Source organism: Homo sapiens, chromosome 1 (assembly GCF_000001405.40).
Source record: "Homo sapiens chromosome 1, GRCh38.p14 Primary Assembly".
Taxonomy (NCBI): domain Eukaryota; kingdom Metazoa; phylum Chordata; class Mammalia; order Primates; family Hominidae; genus Homo; species Homo sapiens.
In genome coordinates, this window is record NC_000001.11 from 60,331,856 (window position 1) to 60,353,301 (window position 21,446).

The 21,446-nt window shown below is 38.2% G+C and overlaps 1 annotated feature.

The window, feature by feature from the left end:
* Positions 10,234 to 11,433: an enhancer, noted in NCBI's record as "CDK7 strongly-dependent group 2 enhancer chr1:60807761-60808960 (GRCh37/hg19 assembly coordinates)". NCBI's record gives its function as "activates an origin of replication core promoter dependent on BRD2, BRD4, P300/CBP, MED14 and CDK7 cofactors, with strong dependence on CDK7, by STARR-seq in HCT116 cells {active_cell/tissue: HCT116}" and the evidence as "EXISTENCE:reporter gene assay evidence [ECO:0000049][PMID:35650434]".

The following is a 21,446-nucleotide window of genomic DNA, read 5'->3' on the forward strand; positions in this document are numbered from 1 at the left end:
TGCCTGACAGAGTAAGCTCCCAAGAAATGGTAGCCAGCAGCAAGCAGCAGCAGGAGTTAGTAATAGCAGAAACAATAGTAGTTGAGCAAGAAATGTATTAGAAGGGTTTCTTTATACTGTAAAAAAATGTGAAAAATATAGAAAAGACATAAGATTCAAAAAATGCAGATAAAGTTTCCATTATAGAGATGAAGATTTAATCAAATAAAGCCTTTTTAGAAAAGTCTATATTTTTACTGAGTTTTAAAATAATACATGTGTGTCAGAAAGAAATGATAAGTACAGACTAGCACTGATGAAAAGCAGTTCGGGCTCACACATAGAGTAGTAGATGAGGCAGCTGGGAGTTCTTACAGGAGAGGAAAGAGTAGTAGCTGACATTTGAATATTAACTATGCACCCAACACTGGTCTAAGACCTTAAGTATAATAAATCATTTAATCTTCACATAACTTTATGTCATAGTACTATTACTTTTCCCATTATACAGATGAGGAAACTGAGATGCAGAAAGATCCTGTGACTTGGCCAAGTTTACTCAGTAGGAAACTGGTAGCGCCTAGGCTCAAACTGGGGCTATTTTCACAGCTTGCTCTTAAGTACTGGGCCCTGCTTTATCTCTATTATATGGGCTAGTCCTGAGGAGCTGTGTCTCTCTAAGGTACTTACATTTTTTGTTTATGAAACAATGGCTAGTCTTTGGAAGTTTTAGAAAAGAGAAAATAGCGAGATCTTATCAGTGTAAATATATCTTTAATGTTCATTAGCATTCCTTTTTTTGGTTTATATGTTTTTAATTAATCAAGCAGTAGTTATTGTTTATAAGTGATACATATTGCAAATATCACGTTAACTCACTCTCTTCATCTTCCTTAATAGGTTTTCTCAAACTTTCCCTAATCTGCTTATCACTTCTTCCTTTCCCTTTTCTCACATAGCTTGCTACTTCTAATCTCCTGAGATGGAGAAATATTCAGATAAATATTACGTGTTAAATCATATTTGCTAAGGTTCTCAGTGAGTGATGAGGAATGTAAATATAAGATTTCACACTAGAGTAGCCTCTTTTCTTTTTATCTCTGAAGTCTGCATGATGATCTTGAGATCTCCAAGACAGTAGAAAATAAGGCATTTCTCTCACCTAAACCTGCCAAGAGAGCATTTGTATTAACCTGTAATAGTTAAAGAGGGTCTCCTATCCATGCATTTTGAATAAATCCCCAAAATATTAGTGATATGGACAGGAGGCATGGAAATACTGACTAGAAAAGGGCAGTCCCCAGTGAGGGCCACACCCTGAAGCCTGGGACTGTGGCCCAAAGTGAGAACATGCATTACTATTTTCCTGCTCAAATGTTGTTTTTGGCCCACCCGCCCCCCCAATCCTGTACCCATAAGAACCCCAGTCTCCCCTGGCAGAGGGGTGGCAGAGAAGCAGAGCAGCTGAGTGGCAGAGCAGAGCAACAGAGAAGGAGAGAAGAGAAGAAGCAACTGGACATCAGAGAGAAGCAGCTTGACTTCAGAGGGACGGCTTGATAGCAGGACTTTGGAGAACAGTTTGGCTAAGGATGGCCAAACTCCAGGTAAAGATCATCTTCCCACTCCAGCCCCTTTCTAGCTCCCCACCCCACTGAGAGCCACTTCCACTGCTCAATAAAATCCTCCACATTCACCACCCTTCCATTCATTCCTGTGACCTGATTCTTCCTAGATGCTGGACAAGAACTTGGGTACCAAGAGGGCAGCTGCATTCCTTTTTTATAAATTAAAAAAACATAGTTTATTCTCCTCACAGAAGATAGGTGGGTAACATGAACCCAATACATGAACACAGCGATTGATAGTTGACAATGACACAAAAGTAACAATCTTTCACAAAACATGGAACACATAGAGAGTCACAGTCAAGAATACAAGAATCTCCACATCATCACATTTTCAGCCAATATATTATATATTAGGAGACTTTCATGTCTTTTATGTCTAAGCTTCACCTGTGTGAGAAATACTGTAGCAGAGTAAAGAAGTCTTTAGCTTTCAGGAGTGACTTGCCAACTGTTTTTTTTTTTTAACTTCTTGGTCTGCAGACTGTCTGTTCTCTGCCACTCTCACTGTAGCACCTGTTGGTCAAGACAATTTGGAGGAGAGGTGAATAACTTGATTAATTCAGCTTATATATCCTCAAATCGACAAATTGTGGTGGTGTGGAAAGAACAAGGGTTTGAAAAGTAGATAGTTTAAATTCCAGCTCTATCACTTCTCATGGTGTTAGTACAAGGGTCAGTGCAATAAATTCTGAAGATCATCCTAACATTTCCTCCTTTCATCCCTCTAGCCCTTGTTTTAAACAAGTTTTAATTAAAGGAGATCTCATCAAACTGTATGATCTTGAATCAAAAGGAAAACATAGATGCTTTTCTTCTTGGCCAAGGCCAGCTTTGGGTGGAAGTGTTGTAACTTCTGTTGACAACATAAGGGGATGTGTTGCCTTTTTGAAAAAATGGGTTGCTTCTTTGGGGCAATGGCTTGACTTGGTGCATTGGGGTCTAAGATCTTGCATGGAGAAAGTGATTATAAGGGACTATAAGTATTAACATGGCAATTTCCTCTAACGCAGGATATCACTGCCTGACAAGTGACTCTAACCAAGGGCTCATTAGAGATAGACAAACTGATTTTGAAAAGCAAGCAGCTTCATTTTCAGACCTTCAGCCAAACTATAACAGCAAAAGTTCTGAATGAGTCTAGCTGAAATGTGAATGGTTTAAGTTTTACCAATTATCTGGTCTGTCTCCACGAATGATTTTGGATAACAATATCGTAAGATACTAGTGAGCTGATCTTCCTGCAACAATCATAATCAGCCCAAAGCTGAGCATCATCATCTCAAACACCTCACACTGTCTGGCACATAGGATGTACTTGGTAAAAATACTTACCAATAATCAAATGAATGAGTGAAGGAACGAATTGCTTGTTTGATTTATATGTCAGAAACTTTGGAGTGAAAAGAGCTGGATGTGAAAAAAGTTGTGGGAGTTGGAGCAGATTCCTTAATTCTTGCCTTAGGTTTTTATTTCATCTTCCATATCAAGTGGATCACAGAGCCCTAACATTCTTTTTTATCTAAATGCTTTCTATTTTCCCCTAAATTTTGGACCCCATGATCTCTTGCCTAACATTCCTGACTTGTTTTCCTTTACTTAAGTCTTTCTGTAGCCACGCTCCCCAGGGCCACTGAGTGATATGATCATGTCACTTCCCTAGTTTAAAACCTTTCAAGTGCACCCAAGAAGGCAGAAAGACCCTGTTGGTGTATCCAAGTACAAAGAGGACTGCTTTTCACAAAACATTGCTTCTTCTCAGTAGCCACCCCACCTTATCAGCTGACTCTTGTGCACTGGCACAGGAAGGGAGCACCCCACTCCACTCTACCCCACTCCACACTCCGTTTTTCCCACCGCTGTGCCAGGTATGGGCACCAGCTCCCTCTCAACCTACATCATCACAGTCCTATCAGCTAAAAGGGAAATGCAACTGTCATTTCTAATTTTCCTCAGAAGCTTTGCAAAAGGAACAGAACTGAGGTGACTGGTTCTACTTTACATTTTGCTTCCAGCAAAATAATATGCTCTGATTTTTAAGCATCAAGGGCCCAGCAAGCCCCCAAATGCATTTTCCCAGGTACATTCCCCCCACAATTTTTCTAACCTCTTACTATCATGGGGAAATTTAATCCATATGTTTCTGGTTCATTTACACTTAACTTATCAAAATGTTCTGCTGTAAGAGAGATTTGATGTCAAAGAAGCCTTGTGGGTCTCATTTATACACGTCTTTTCTTTGAACCAGGAAGTTAAGGTTTGCCAGAAAAAGCAGAAATAAATGCTGTAAAGAGTCCTTTTTTTCTAAAATGAAACTTTAGAACTTCTTACAATGTGAGAACTTCTCAACCCAAAATACCAGGGTTTTATTGCTTAGACATCAGTGTGCCCTCTAATCCTTTTTCCTTTCTCTCCTTACCCCCTACCAGACAGTGTGCCACCATTCTTAAAGAAATATTTGAGAAACAAAAAGTTAATTGAAGAAATGGGAGTAGCACAGGGGACAAAAATAGCGACGTGCAAGTAATTGACTATGGAAAACTCTATGTCATTCAGGATAAATACATTTTCTTCCAATTTCCTGAGCTAATGGTGATGAGTGCACCATCATGTGACTTACGCTGCAGATCTCCATTAAGTCTCTTATATTTGAGATACCTTTGTTGGTCACCCTAGATTAGTGCTGTTCAATGGAATATTCAATGCTGATGGAAACTATGACATCCAATACCGTAGCCATTTACACCTCTAGAGTGCTTGAAATGTGACTACTGTGATTGAGAAACTGAATTTATAATTTTGCTCACTTTTTTTTTGTTTGTTTTTTGAGACGGAGTCTCCCTCTGTCACCCAGGCTGGAGTGCAATGGCACAATCTCGGCTCACTGCAAGCTCCGCCTCCCAGGTTCATGCCATTCTCCTGCCTCAGCCTCCCGAGTAGCTGGGACTACAGGTGCCCGCCATGATACCCGCTAATTTTTCTTTGTATTTTTAGTAGAGACAGGGTTTCACCATGTTAGCCAGGATGGTCTCGATCACCTGACCTCGTGATCTACCAGCCTCGGCCTCCCAAAGTGCTGGGATTACAGGTGTGAGCCACTGTGCCTGGCCAATTTTGCTTACTTTTAACTAAATTAAGTTTAAATTTAAATAGCCACATTTGGCTAGGGTCTACCACATTGGACAGTGCAACTCTAGATGCCTATGGGATGAAAGAGTCATAACATCCTGTATTTAGCTAACTCTTAAAAAGCATGTGGACCTTTATAATGCAGCATAATGCATTCTTGATATTAAAAAGTTAGCCAATAGGACTTTCTTAATAAGGGTGGGAAAACCTAAGTGAATCAAAGTACATATCAAACTCCAATAGCAGAAACCAATTCAAAGTTTCAGTAATCTTTGTTTAATAATATTCTCTTAGAAAACATTCCTACCTATTATATAAAAACGCAATTATACCCTTGAAGTTTCATGGCTAAAATGACTGGACTTAAAAGAAAGTATGCTTCTTTGGGAGTTACCATTCCTGGGATGGCCTGTATTGTAGTTTTATGCCTCATTCCAGTAATCATTTTCAATGTGTTAATTAGACAAATAAATAAACCCTTGCTAGGCATGTGAACTTCACTTTCAGATATGATAGCCAATATTCCCACAGATGCTTGAAGATAGCACAAAAGGTTCTGACCCTTTCTAATAGCTAAAAGAATGCCATGTCTTAAAAATAACCTAAGGGGCTGGGCGCGGTGGCTCACATCTGTAATCCTAGCACTTTGGGAGGCTAAGGCGGGTGGATCACCTGAGGTCAGGAGTTTGAGACCAGCCTGCCCAACATGGTGAAACCCTGTCTCTACTAAAAAGACACAAAATTAGCTGGGTGTGGTGGCGGGTGCCTGTAATCCCAGCTATTTGGGAGGCTGAGGCAGGAGAATCACTTGAATCTGGGAGGCAGAGGTTGCAGTGAGGAAAGATCATGCCATTGCACTGCATCCTGGGCAACAGAGTGAGACTCCGTCTAAAAAAAAAAAAAAAAAAAAACCCTAAGGTCTGTACTAAGAAGCCCCAATGCCCCAACCTTTAAAAATCTGAAGCTAAAAAGAGACAGAACAATGAGTCAAAATACTATTGGTCTATTTTAGATAGAGATACTTTTCTTAAAGGACTACATGCAAAAAAAAAAAAATAGAGATATTGTTGTGACTACTGGTAAGAGTGAGAGCTGAAACATAACTATATAGTTTTTCAACTTCAAATAGATTTTTACATCAATCACTAAGAATCAAGAACTATGGGGTGATTCAGTCTCCCACAGGGAACATCTCACATTCCATCTCAAAAATTAGCCTGCCCTTCTCCCTGCACATTATAGGAATGGCCAAGTCATAGAAAAGGTGCTGACTTTTTTTGCCAGTAAATATTTGGAAAAATCTCAAAATTATTTAGTAAAAAAGCAAAGGTTATTTGAGAAATGCTTTTAAATATTGAAGGAAAATTACAATTATCCCTGAGTCATTGGGGTTCATGAGTCACCTGCCCCTATCTCCCAATTAATTAACTAATTAATGAATTAACTATTTCTTGAGCTCTTGTCCTCTGCAAAGCATATGATAAAAGTAGCTTTTGTTGAATATCTCCACATCTTATTTACTCATTCATCTATTAATTCATTAGCACTTTCAAGCCTTGTGTTCTGCTATGCTAAGCCAAAGAAGTACTAAAGGGTAGTCTGGGACTTGATCATTAGTCCCACTAAATTAAAAACCTTGGAGTGCTCACTTTCAATGTCACTACCTGGTTATGTCACTCAGCGACTTTTTAACATATGCCTGAGAAATCCTTCCTGTCAGTTACCACATTTCAGTTTTCATTTCTTTATCAGTCAGCAATGGCTGTGGAAGGATAAGGATCAGATCACCACAACACTGAGCTGTGCTGCCTCACTTTCTCCCTGGAGGGTCACTATTAGGAAGCCTGTAAATGAAAAAATATTTCAAATAGGTCATATTTTGTACTCCACATACACTTTGTTGCACATCTTTCAAATGCTATTTCCCCAAAACACTGGTGAATCTGAAAGTTCTTTGAAATGACACCAGAAAATAATAGCGAATATTTCCTATAGATTTCCACTTATTGCTAAGAAGGCTTTAATTGTTTTTGTTCCTATTTTGTCTATGTCTTTAGGTACTAGATTTCAGACAGGTCAAGTCTACTATTTGGATGTGAGCATGTATTCATTAATTACTATGTGCCAGACACTATTCTAAGTGTTTCACCTGTGTTTTTCTTAAACTATTCTCACAAAATATCTAAGAAGTAGGTACATTTTATTGTTCTCATTTTGTGAAAAGGGAAACTGAAACTTAGAGAGGTTCATTGGCCCAAACTTATACAGAATGTAATTAAAGGAGCCAAGGTGTGGCCACCATGCTTTTAGTCGCAGTGTAACCCAAACTCACGTTTTTGATCTTTCCTGGATCTTGCTATAGGTTAGGTGCAACACAAAGTCTTCCTAGTAGAAAATTATTATTATATATGCATTTTCATATAACACATCTGGATAAGTCACTTCCAGGAAACTTGTATTTCTAGAAAAAATACTAGAGTTATATTAAAGTGTAATAAAAATTTTTATGTATAGTAATATAATCAAAATTCCAATATGCATACTTTTGGAGAACTGTAGGTGAAATGATCAGTATAGAGCTCTTGTCTTGTTATAATGTTGAGGCAGAGACATATATTAAGGATTAATATATTACTAATAACCATAAAAGAAGGTAGGCATTGATAAAATGATTAAAAACAACTAATATTTACTCAGTGCTTACTATATGCTCTATATGGTACTTTGCCACCATTGTCTCTCAGGAACATAGAATAACTCACTCAAGGCCATGCATTTATAGTGGCAATGGTAGGACTTCAACCCAGTTCTGATTAGCTTAGAGTACACACTGGCAACATTCTACTGCATCACTTTCAGAATACACATGGTAAAAATTAATAAGAGGTCAAGAACTATAGAAATGTGACAGTTGCTGGGCTGTGAACCTATGTACCTCATTCCCCAAGTAATACCCAAGTTTATACTTCAATTTTAATTTGCATGTACCCTCTTCATATGAGGATGTCTCAGCAGAATTCATCACCCAACTAGAGTCCAAAATCACTGTTCCTACATGGAAAAAGAGTAAAAATTATGTAGCTATAGAGTGAGTTTCTGACTCAGCAAAGAATAAATATCTGTTTGACAGACCTTAACTTTTTTATAGCAGTGGAAAATGACACTGGAGAGAAAAAGAGGCTTAAGGAGAGTAGGAGAAAGTTCAGTCTGATTTAGCATCACCATTTGTATTCTCTGTAAAGATCTTAAGGCATGAGCCACACATCAGAAGGTCCAAGGGTTCTCATTGTCTATGGCTTGAAGTTTATTGCTGTTGCCAAGAACCAACTGGCATCAGTAACCGTTACCTCCAAAACTCTGACGGAAAGTGTGTACTAAGGGACATTCATCCATTCAGCAGGACCATAATTTTATGAAAGGTAGTTAGCATTGGCAGGTGAGCCATAATATATCTGACCTTTAACTGTGATTCAGACAGCAGGTAGAAAAACCACTGGATGATATATCTCCTGCCAAGAGATTGTCCATAAAATACAGCACACTTCCCTGGGCAATCGCAGATGGATAAAATAGTGTGCCATTTAGATCATCCCTGTGCCTGTGGGTTGGATTAAAATGAAAAGCTTTGGTAACCTTCCCACGCAAAAAACTTTTGCTCTTTGAGCATCCTGATATGTCAGCACCTGTATTAATGCCACAGCTGCAGACTGAAACTGCTAATTTCCCTGAAGAGGAGAAGGCAGCATTCAATAGAAACAGCTTGTCCAAAGCCCCAGATGAAATGGGCCAAGTTTAATGATCCAAAGAGAGTGACTGATTTGTTTCTTACCATAACAAAGGCAAAGGGATCTTTTACAACTTGTGGCTCTGTGCCCTCAATCATCACAGTTACACATCTCTATAAGAGGGTTCATAATTTCAAAAGGTGGACTGTATTTCTTCATCAGGATTTTCTTGGCCATATGCTATGTGCAGGGTCTGATGATATAAAGACAAATAATACTACTTATATCCAGCCATTTACAGGTTCACAAGCAAGAAGTGAAATGTTTATATTAGGGAGTTATGCACTTAATTTTCAGATTCTGTGTAGCCTATTGGGGAGCCTGTAAAGAGTACATAATCAATTCTTCCTGGATGTGGGGCAGGAAAATCCTCACGGAAGATCTCTTCTGTGAAGTCTTGTAAAATGTGTAAGGGATTACCAAGTAGAAAAGTGAGATACAAAAGTCATTCCAGCAGAGGAAGCTGCACCAGCAAGGACAGGAATATACTGTATCAAAAGCTGTCAGCCGTTGGTTTGGCCACAGATAGCCAGTGACCTGAAGGAGGTGAGATAATGCTGACAGTAGGCTGGGGTCAGACCATGCAGAGGTAACAGTAATAATTGCAAACTTGGTTTCACAGGGCAGCTGAATGAAATTATAGATAACTGGCCTCATTCTAGGAGATTATGATTTACTAAGTCTGAGATGGGACAGAGAACCTGTATTTTCAACATCCCCCACAATCACCACCAACAACTAATACTGATACAGCCAGTCTTTGAAGAGTTTTAACAAAGAAAAAAACATGGTCTAATCTATACTTTAGAAAATCATTCCAGGAAGAGACTGGAACAGGAATCTGAAGGGCTAAGGACCAAAGCCAAGGAGATCCTCCACTCTTTAGAGATTAGAAATTGATGCTCAGTGATGTTACATGACTTTCCAAATCTGTATAGCTGGTAACAGAGGCAGAATTTGAAACCATATTTTTATAACTGAGAAGTCTGGGATTTTCCCATTCTACTACAATGTCCCTTACCCTACTGCTGCAAGGATACTGTCTAAGATAACTAAGTCTTAGTGCAAGGGGCTGGAAGCAAAGGAAATCAACTCTGGCCAGTTGAAGCATCTGAGATAAGAGCACAGGAAATTCCAGGTCATAGACATACACTGATTGAAACTATGTGCTCTGGCTGATTAGAATTCAATTCTCTGACCCTCCTGTAATTCCACTGCAGTTTAATTAAAACTCATTAAACTGACATCACATTCCAGCAGATAATTAGAAAAATAGTACACACTTTAAGTACATCGTCTTATTCTGGCTACATTTAATGTAAAAGATGAATCACACAAACAATGGTTACTAGTAGAAATTACCAATAATTTTGCCTTTTACTGCCCTAGGCTCTCATTTTGCATGATCTTGTATAATTATCACAACAACCTTATGAAGTATGTAAGATAGGCCCAGAGAGGCTTAGTACTTTGCTCAAGACCACATAGCACCAGTAGGAAGTACCCTTTGTCTACATGATTTTAAAGCCTTTTGTGTCTCTGTTTTTTCACTACCATTTCATTTTTTTCAACAGTCTACATTGTGAGTATTACCTACCTAGCCTAGCACCCTTCCTCTGGTGAAACAGTCATGAACACAATGGGACCAGTGGGATGAAGCTGTTTCCTATATCAAGATTTTAAGATCACCAGTGAAAAGAATGAAGAAATCTATTGTAAACTGGATTACCTAGAAAGCAGTCTCTGGGAAAGGGAGCAGGTGCAGGAAGGCATTAGAACTACTTGGGATCAATACCTGTACAGAAATGGAAGAAAACCAGATTAGCTAGAGGAGAAGTTCAGTTTGTAATCAACTTTGGGGAACTCTGACATTGAATGGCCCTTTTGAGCAGGGGCGATATACCCTGTCCCCATCAACTACTCGTTGGATGCAGGCTGGCACTGGGAAGAAGCAAAACCCTCGTCAAGGCAGCTGTCTTCAGCCAAGAGAGGTTGACAGTATTTGGAGGAAGTCTTTCTGTACTGAAGTGCAGTCTGGGAGGCTGAACATACCGTCCACCATGAGGTGTATGTCTTCTTGGTACTATGTTCTCTCTTCTCTCTTTTGATCTGCTACAGTCGGGGCTCCTTTGGCTTGGGAGGGATTTTCAGTCATCCAGGGCTGAGAAAGGGCTTCCAGTAGTGGAACACTGGCCACGTCTTCATGGATGATACAAGCTGAGGACCTGAAGGAAGAGCACTGACTAAGCCACTTTTCTGTTTCACCTGTGAATATAAATATGAGAAGTGTAGTATCTCTAGTCTCATCCATGTGGTTTAATCACCTTTCATTTATCCTTTCATTTATTTATTAACAAGCTACATATTTTCATAGGCAGTCACTCTGACTCATAAATACAAATACAAAGAGCAATAAAATATCAAGCCTTTAGAACTTTAGTTGCCTGATGCTGGGTGTGGTGAGGAGTGAGCAGGAGTAAGTAGTGAACCACTGTTGGTGCATCAAAGAGGCTAACAACTTTCAGAGGCATTTGCATTGTTTAGTTCCCTAGATTGATGGGTAAGAGAATTTTCTAAAAGAACTGAGATCAAAAGTAACCTTCCCCATTTAAGTCACAGAGATAGGCCACAGCATTCCACAGTTATGAGGGTAGGTTGATTGGGGTGAGAGGAGATGAAAATATCTAGAATGCAATGAGGTTGTATCCCATCTGGAAGGAAGAACCACTGAAATTAGGAACAAGACAACGGTCATCATAGAGTTGAATCTGAAGCTTCTTTTTAAGAGTAGAGGGCTGCCCCACAGCAGAAGTTGGATTTGCAAGCAAGATACACAAATGTTTTAGAATTTGAAGCTGTAGAGTCTCTGTCACTTTGATGATTACTCAGTGACTGTGAGTGCCAGACTAACGTAATCTGTAGCTTTTATATTTGTCACACATTGAGGCAGTTTTCTGTATTATTTTCCTAAATACTAATTGTGAAGGAAGGGCAGTAGCACATACCACCTGTCATCTATAACACATGTATCCCTAAGGAGCATGTGGAGAGGGAAAAGGGATAAAACCATCCTAAACCAATTGCATAAAGGTCTTCATTGGAAGAATTTACCTTCCTTACAATCCAGGAGATAAGACCAGTTTTGCTTGGCTAAACTGATAATTTATATAATTAAAATGATAACTTCTCCAAAATCAAAGGAGTCAAAAAGATTCACCATTGGCGCCAGCTGCATTCAATCCCTTTCCCCAACAAATATTTATTGAACATGTATTATGGCCATGTCCTGGGAATTATACAGTGACCAAATCAGAGAGCCTCCTGCTAAGGACTTTCATTCTAGTAACTTCTCGGCCCAAGCAGAGTAGCAGAAGGCAACCAGTGATACCTCATCCTGGGTATGGTTTAGAAGAGCATGGGGACAATATATTTGTCATGTTTAACTTGGGTTATAGGGTAATTCAGGAGTGAGAACTGATGTTGCTTGATTTTCCACCCCTGGTATTCAAGAGTCAGACACACAGAAGTTATTCAATAAATACTTGGTGAATGAACAAATAGCCCGGAGCGATCTGTGTGTATTTTTGTCAGGATGGCTCTCTGTGATACCAAACAGCATACAACTTTTCATGAGATTTGGCCATAAGGGGATGTTGTGTCAGTGTACAGAGCTTCCTGGAAGGAAAATAACCTGAGCTATTTAAGCAAAGGGCTTATCTTTTCATAAAGGTCCCTATACTTAGGGTCTTCTACATCCCAGTGACCTTATTCTCAAAGACAAACACAGAAGACCCTTTGGGATAGAAGGTACACATTCAGAAGCGAGTCAATGCCCTTCAAAACAAAAGTATCATTTTCTTCAGTCATTCCAACTCTATTGATTATCTGCTATGTGCCATGCATGGTGCAGGGCACCGAACAGTACAATAGTGATGACGGCAATTTGCCTTTAAGGAGCTCACAAACTAGTGACAGAGAAATAATCATAATAGCTAACATTTACTGAGTGCCTAGCATTTGTACTTCCTTAAATCTATAAGGAACCCTATCAGATAAATGGTATTATCTATATCTTTTACTGGTAAAGAACTTCAGGTAGCTTGGATAATTTGCTCAAGGTCACACAAAATTATTTCTACATGGCAGACCCTGCATTACAATTTATATGTATCTAACACCATAATGCATCCTCTTAACAAGTATCATACAGCCTCTCACTAATAATTTGACAGATACTTGACACATGCTTTTCACGGTCATTAAAGCCAAGTTGTCAAGAGCCAGATTGCCTGGGTTCAAGCCTTGACCCCACTATTAAACAACATATTTAATGTGTGTCTCTGTTGCTTTACCTATTAATATGCATAATAATAATAGTACCTTCCTCAGAGTGTTTTTATGATATTGGGAGTTAAATTAGATGCTCAAAATGTATAGATGCTCACTTAGTAAGTGTTACATAAATGCTACCCCTGATCCTTAGGCAATGATTTTTCTTTCCTCTGAAACTGGTTTTGTTGAATGTTCTAATGGGGGTGGGAACTCATAAAAACCAGAAAAGGGAGGGTGGTTTTTCTCGTGCACATTTAGTGGACTGAATTTTTAACTTTCCTAAATCTGAAAGTAGCATCAGATTCATGCAGATTCATGTTATACTCACGCATAGAGGCAGTCAGAGAAGAGGCAGATTGAATGCTGTCCCCACTATTTTATGTTTTAGATTGGGCTTTCTCATCTGAGAACCATGTACAGACAAACGTTCCCATTAAATCCTCTCCTCCTTTATTTTTCTCTTTCAGTAACATGGGTACAAAAAGCTAACAGCATACCCAGGGAAAACGCATACTTTCAGAGCAAAGGTCAAAGTTTATTAAGCACTTCACCAGCTCAAGTGTTTTTACAGAAAACCAAGGAACATTCAATTCACACCAGGGCTTTTAAGTTCCCGGAAATATCATATCATATTTAAAGGATTCTAATTTAGCTTATTTATAGAGTGTTGATCAAGACAACTTTTTAAATATTCTAGACCTTTGATACACAGAGTTTTTGCCCCTCTGTGGGACTAAACGATAAAAATAAAAAACCTAAAGCAGGTACCAGGAAAACAAATAAATATCTTTCAGGAAGCTGAGTAGAGACTTTTATGTGTAGGCAGAAATAGCAGAATCTTTAGAACCTTCAGGCCATAGAAATTAAACCCTTCATCATGAATGTCCTGACAGAAGAAAAATGTGTCTGAGTGCATACCATGCACTGATGTGTACCTGTTTGTATGTGCACACACATGTGTGTTTATATGTGCACATGTATGCGTATATGTATGTGCAGTCATGCACACATCTGTGTATACATCCATATACTGGTGTCAGACTTGGTCAGAGAGTCCTCTGTTTATCTGAAAAACAGAGAGGAGCCAAATTGCACAAGAATGCTTGTGAGTCATGAGGTCACCAGAGAATCTGGAGTAGTGAATTAAATGGGACTTCTTGGAGCAATACCATACCTCCTACCATTCACTGGGCATTAACTAGGCTATGTTCATTATAAGTAAATGACTCAAAATCCTCTCTAAGGCCCTATGAAATAGCCCTTAATTTCCCCATTTTACAGAGAAGAAACATGAGTCTCAGAAAGGTTGAAGATGGGATTTGAACCTAGGATTTAGTGGCTCCAAGGCCTCACTCTTTCTATAAAACTCAATTGATGGGGGAAGTCTCTGTTTCCTCAACAATTACATCACTTGTGGTGCCTGGAAATCCTCTGGCAATGGACTTTCACAGGTTTAAGATGTTGGGGAGAAAAAAAGTTTTTAAAAATTAGACATATTATATCTGATGAGCAACAGCTAAAAACTTAAAGGTGGACACAATAATCAAACATATCTTGAAGTCAGAGGATTTTTCCAAAGGGCTGTTATAATACACCTATGATCTACAACTTACCTTGAGCACTACCCTCCAATTACCCAGTATGGTATTTCTATATATTTTTTTAAATATAACTTCACTATTTCTTATCTCTTATCCAAAGTGCTGAATAAATATTTGTTGAATGAATGTTGAATAAAGGTAGAAAAAAATAATTCAAGGGTCATGGAATAGCCTCATGAATTTTACAGTTTTATTTCATTGATCTTTCTGAAAACACTCTCATAAAGACAACATAAATGCCATTGTATTCAGATGAATAAAATTTGGTGTTCCATGAAGAAACAAGGCCATGGACCCTAGGACATTATAATTTGTGCTCTCTCAATGGGATCCTGAGGATAGGGGCTTAATGAATGTTGTATTAATTATGGTAATGCTAGCTGCTATAATCAATACATCGCAAATTTCAATGGCCTAACACAATAAAATTTATTCCTCACTCATATGAGAGTCCAACACTTCTCTTCCCTTTTGGCATGCAGTTTTTCTCTTTGTAGAAATTCAGGGACTCAGTTCCCACAGTCTTGCAGCTCTGCCATCCCAAAGGACTTTTGAGCCAGTTAAGGTGAAAGAGAGAGAACAAAGATACACCCGCTTCTTTTAAACCCTGGCCCTGGGTAATACACTTTCATTCACATTTCACCAGAGAGTTCATGGTTAGTTCATAACCAGTTTGCAAATAACAACTCCACACTACTGAGGGGGAAATACTACTTTCTAGTAGACTCTGCCATTCATACATTCCCCAGATATGCCTAGACTCCCAAAGGAAATGGCATTTATGGCTTATTATAGGATTATAGGCACTGTCTTAGATTCTTCTCATATATTATCTTACTAATCTTTCCAAAAGCTCTATTTAGCATTATCCTGACTATCAGAAAAAGAAACTGAGCCTCAAATAAATGATATGACTTGCCCGAGATGATTACCTGGTTAATGACAGAACATGGATTTAAATCTGGCACGAGCTGATTCCAAAGCCCATCCTCTCTCCACCAAACCAAAGAAGGATTCACATTTTCAAGGATTTGCGTGTTTCTTCAAAAGAATCTGAGTAGTAGCTAAATTGTTGTTTCACATTATTGCATTAGACTAAACTTTACACTGTATTGGACAGCTTTTACTCTTGATTAATAATGAATGGCTAGGGAGGATGTTCAAATTACTTATAGACAAAACAACTTTATCAGCACATCTGAGTTAAACAAGTTAATCTTCGTCAGACTGTCAAAAGACAGTCTGAACAACAAAATTCTAGAAAGGACAGGAATGCAAGTGTGTTTCGGGGCAACTGAAATTAGAGAGGCAGATGCTTCTTAAAATGTCTCTATATTCATCTATACTTATTTCTTCTCTGTACTTCTTTCTATATATCAACTTTAGTCACTTCTACTAAAGAATGGCTTACTCATATGATTCAATTTATATAAAATGTTTAGAATAGGCCAAATCACAAAGACAGAGAGTAAATTGGTAGTTGTCCTAGCCTAGGGGGAGGGAGGAAAGGAAAGGGCCTGCTAATGGGTACAGGGTTTCCTTTTGGGGTGATGAAAATGCTCTGGAATTTCTGATAAAAGTTATACAACTCTGAATATAGTAAAACCACTGAATTATACTCCTTAAAAGGGTGAACTTTATACCATACGAATTACATCTCAACAAAGCTAGTATTTAAAAAAAAGAATGGTTTTCTTCCCAGGTTGAGGCAAATGGCCTCTAGGAAATTCTAAGTGTCATATATTGTGGGTGTCTCCACCAGCGACTGACTAGTTCCCAGATTCAGGTCAAACAAACAGAAAAAAATATGCATCCAAAGGGGAAAAAACCTGTTACTTCGCCAGTCAGCTTCTGGCAAGGGGGCATGATCACATTAAACAGACTTGGGAATGGAGTCTCACTTCTGTGAATGGGACGACTCTAAACAAATGGGAAAAATCATTGCAGACCAATCAGCTACAGAAGGGTTATCTAATCTACCAGACTTCACTACAGATTATATATGTTTATATATACCCAATATGTTATGCCATAGCCTTATACACCAAATTTTAGGGAATCAGCAAAATATGGAAGCTGCATGAGCACTGGACTCAGACACACCAGTTTTGTAATCCCGCCACTGACTAAGTCTATGTCATCGGTGAGGTCACATCAATTCACAAGGCACCCAATTTTATTTCTGTAAATGCAATAAAAATATATCTATCACTTGATCATAGTAAGTAAAAGGATGATATAATATATGCAAAGCACTCAGCACAGAGGCTATCCACATAGCCTATGCCTATACATAGCAGGTGCCTCATAAATATTAATGAGGGAATGGTACAAGCAATTGGTAAAAACAATGGAGAAGCAATTGGTATAGCCAGTTCCAAAATAGTGATCACACATGGATACTCCACCAAGAGGAAAAATGAATGGTCAAAGGAGCTGGCTTTTCTATTTTGTCATTCTGACCAGTTGATTAATTAAGATAGACTTACAGTCACTGCTGCTTGCAAGGTCCAGAGCAGACCACTGTAAGGGTGTTATAAATAATACCAGTAATATTTCACAATTTCACATTTTTCTAAGTATTTTTATGTCTGCTCTCTGTTTTGCTAATCTTTCCCCATCTAGAAAAATCCTGTTTATGCTTCAAGACTCAGCCTATGTGTCATCACCTTTCTGAGGCCTTTGGTGACATTGCCACCATCCCAGGAAGAATTAACCATCCTTTCTCCTGTATTTCTATTGTGATATAGTCACACTTCTTGCGTAGTATTTTACACATCAGCATATTTTACACACCATCCCTCATCAGATTATAACTACTACAACAGTAGTCCAGAATCCAGCATAGCCTTCTGCAAATGATGAATGTCAAACACTCTTTGTTGAATGTAGCAATAAAACTACACATAAAGGAACAGTGCCTGGCACTGGCTAATAGCACCTTATGGACAAAGTAAAGTTAAATTAAATTTGGTGATCAGAAAGGACATATGAATTACCTAGAATGGGAAATTTATTTTTATTTTTACCAAAAAATAAAAGAGAGAGAGACTAAATGACTTGCCCAAAGAAATATGTTAAGAAAATGGTAAAGCTGAATTCAGCAAGAAAACGTTCCTTGTGATTTCTAACTTAGTGCCTTTTGCATTTCACTGTGTTGCCTCTGAAATTTTTTAAAAATAAAAAAAGGCTCAACAATAAAATGAAAATTTAGAATCAGATTAATAGCTGATGAATATGGCTTCTTCCTTGTGACAGTTATCAACAAATGAACTCAACCATCTTATTTTTAAAATTTTCACTGTTTTCATAGCCTTTGCCTGTTTGAGCTTCTCTACCTCAAGAGCTTTTGGAACATGTTAGGAAAAGATGGGTATTCCTTGTATAAAACCTCATGACTTTGGGGGAGAAAGGCTGCCCTGGATTCATACTGGCCATTAGGTGGAGGCTGCGACTTGACTGATGTGCACAGCTAAGCAGGATAGGCCAAGAACTAGAACCCATATCTCCATTCTCCCATATCATCACTTCCTCTGATTGATGTGCAATGATAGCCATCATCAACTGACAGACGTACATGTATAACAGCATTGTTTTTGTATGTAAGAATTAAAGAGGAACTAGGTCAAAATGTAAATACAATTTCAAATGCAGTAGAATCATTTTTTACCTCTTGCCTATATACTTTGTAGAAGTAGTTGTATTGATCTTGTGACAGTCTGTTTCAAGCTAAAGGCCCCAAGTTTTGATCAGGTTCACAGACGCTCTTTAATCTGTAGATCTATGAACTAATCAAGAGTTCAAATCCCAACAATTGGCCAAAACTCTAATATTTTGAAAAATGCTTTTCTGTTCCTGACATTCATTTTCCATCATAAAACTAACATTTTTAACTTGGGATTTTTTTAAAAAGTTAAACAGTCTCAAAGAAATGGAAAACATTTGGGATTTTTTTAAAAAGTTAAACAGTCTCAAAGAAATGGAAAACATTTCTCACCAATAATTATGGTGTCTCAGTAATTATCACCATTCCTTCATGACAATGAGAAACTGAAAAACATTTGAAAAATATGTCCTGATTTTGCTGATGACTAATCAGAGAAAATGAAATATAAATTTTTATAGATACTACTATGTAGCAGGTATTTCAACTTAATAATATCATTTAATCTCCATACCACCATAAAATGAATACAATTATACTTATTTTATCAAAGAGAAACGGAAGCTCATAGAATATAAATGAGCTCCTCAACCTCATACATCCAAAAAGTTAGAGCCCAAGGTAATCTCTATTGATTCTCCAGTTGCAATTTTCCAGTATTTTTCTAGCAGTGAACTTTATGAACAGTAATAATTCATCAAATTGTTTGCCCTCTCTTATTTACTCATTCCTTCCACAAATGTTCATTGAGTTCCTTACTACTTGCCAGCACCATAGGGAATGACAGTTTTTAAAAGATAAAAAGTCAACATACAATGAAGGGGAACCTTCTGATGTGAATGTATTCCAGATACTGTCAGAAATACTAAGGGAAAACTGTATCCTAGTCCATTCCCTCTTAAAAATTCATGCCAGAATATTGATTCTGACAGACCCCATATTATCATTGTTGACAAGAAAAACTTGATAGTGAAGCACAAATGTATCATGTTTTAATGACATTTTAGATGTCTTTTCCTTGAAAGGAAAAAAAATATATATGCCAAACTATATTAGTGATACAAATCTGGAGACTTATTGTCAAACATCAACTTAAAACTTGTTCATCCATTGATTCCCTCATCCCACTAATCCATTGTTCAGTCATTTAACTACTAATAACAATACCAACTGCTAACCTTTTCTGAAATTTTCTATGTGCCAGGCACTGTTCTAAATTCTTAAATGTACTAACCTATGGAATCCTCACAAGTCTGTAAGTACTATTATTATTATCCTTTTGAAATGGAGTCTCGCTCTGTCACCCAGGCTGGAGTGCAGTGGTATGACTTCTGCTCACTGCAACCTCCACCTCCTGGGTTCAAACGATTCTTGTGCCTCAGCCTCCCGAGTATCTGGTATTACAGGTGCCTGCCACCGTGCCTGGCTAATTTTTTGTATTTTTAGTAGAGATGGGGTTTTGACATGTTGGCCAGGCTAGTCTGGAACTCCTGACCTCAAGTGATCTGCTCACCCCGGCCTCCCAAATTGCTGAGATTACAGGCGTAAGCCACCATGTTCAGCCAAGTAAGTAGTATTATTATCTCCACTTTAGGTATAACAAAGGTGCTAAGTAATTTACCAAAGATCACATGTTGGCTGAAATGGAGGCAGTTTGACTGCAGGATACATGCTCTAAACTGTTATATCACCCTATGTTTTGAAGGTTAATTAATATCTACTTTGCATCAGGGACTGTGCTAAATTAAATAGAAACCTCCAAGAAGAAGGCAGATACACTTCCTGTCTTCAAGGAACTGCAGTCCAGCAGGGAAGGCAGAGATTGTAACAGTAATTACATGCAATATGACAAGGGTTCCAATAGAGGAAATATAAGGAGAAGTACAGGTGCTATGTGGGTGAACAAATTGTTGTCAGAGAAGACCTAGGAGAGGACAAGTGAGTGCTATGTAAACCTGGTGATAGCCTTCCACATAGGTGATCTATCAATGCAGATGGATAGTAAATTAGACAATTATTTAGACTCACATCTGGGGCCAGACTGTGCACAGAAGATTCTAGGTGCCAAGAAAGAACAGAGAGAGATGGGGCAGGTCTTTGGCTTTGCACTTTCTATGGAGGAGCTGTGCTGTGAGGTGACGAAGGGGAGGTGGGGGTAGGGGGAGGTAGAGGTAGAAGCCCGTAGTTGTAGAACGAGAAGAATGCAGCCAAAGAATGAAAGCCAGAGGAGAGTTAGCCTTGTGACATCAAACAGATTGAAGCTGTAAAAAAGTGAGTGTTTTATCATTAAAATTGTTAATGTTAAATTTCTGCTGGAATATTTCTTGTATGCTTCCCCAAATAGGCTTTCCTCATAGGACTTACAGAAAACATACCAATGGGACAATAAAAATTTTACACAGATTGTGAATGTATTTATTCATTTTCTCTATTTGCTTCAAACTGAAGCTACCATCTTCTTTTCATGCTTATTGATATTTCTTAACAAAACTGATATATTATCCTATAGTCATAAATGGAATTGTTGGAAGGAGCATGTGGCCTAGTTCCTTTATGTTATAAATGATGATAACAGAAAGCCAAAAAGTCCACACAAAACCAGAAACTCTAAATACAGTGTGTGAAGGAAATAAAAATGCAGTATGATTATGGACCAAATTATGTACCCCCAAAATTCATATGTTATAGTCTTAACCTCCAGTACCTCAGAATATGATTGTACTTGGAGATAGGGCCTTTAATTAGGTGATTAAGTTAGCACAAGTCTTTTAGAATGGGCTACAATCCAATCTGTCTGGCATCCTTATATGAAGAGGAAATTTGGACACAAAAAGGAACATCAGGGATCTGTGTGCACAGAGTAAAGACCATTTGAAGACACAGTGAGATGTCCATCTACAAGCCAAAGAGAGCCTTAGAAGAGCTCTAGAAGAAATCAACCCTGCTGGCACCTTCCAGTCTTCAGGACTATGAGGAAACGAATTTCCCTTGTTGAAGTCACCCAGTCTGGTATTTTGTTACTGCAGTTCTAGCAAACTAATGCATACTCACATACTTTTATATTTATACCCACATTTATTCTCTCCATCTCTCCCTCCCTTCCTCCCTCCCTCCCTCAAGCCAATTTCAAAAGCACTTTCATGCATATTACTGTATTTGAGTTTGATAGCACTTTTGTTGAAAAGGCAGGCCAATAATTAACTTCACTACATGGATAAAGCAACTGAGGTTCTGAGTTCATAAGTTACTCACAGATACTACTAGAAATAACTGAGCTAGAATTTGAATACAGGTTTTCTAATTTTTCAAGTCCAACATCCTCTAAATGTAA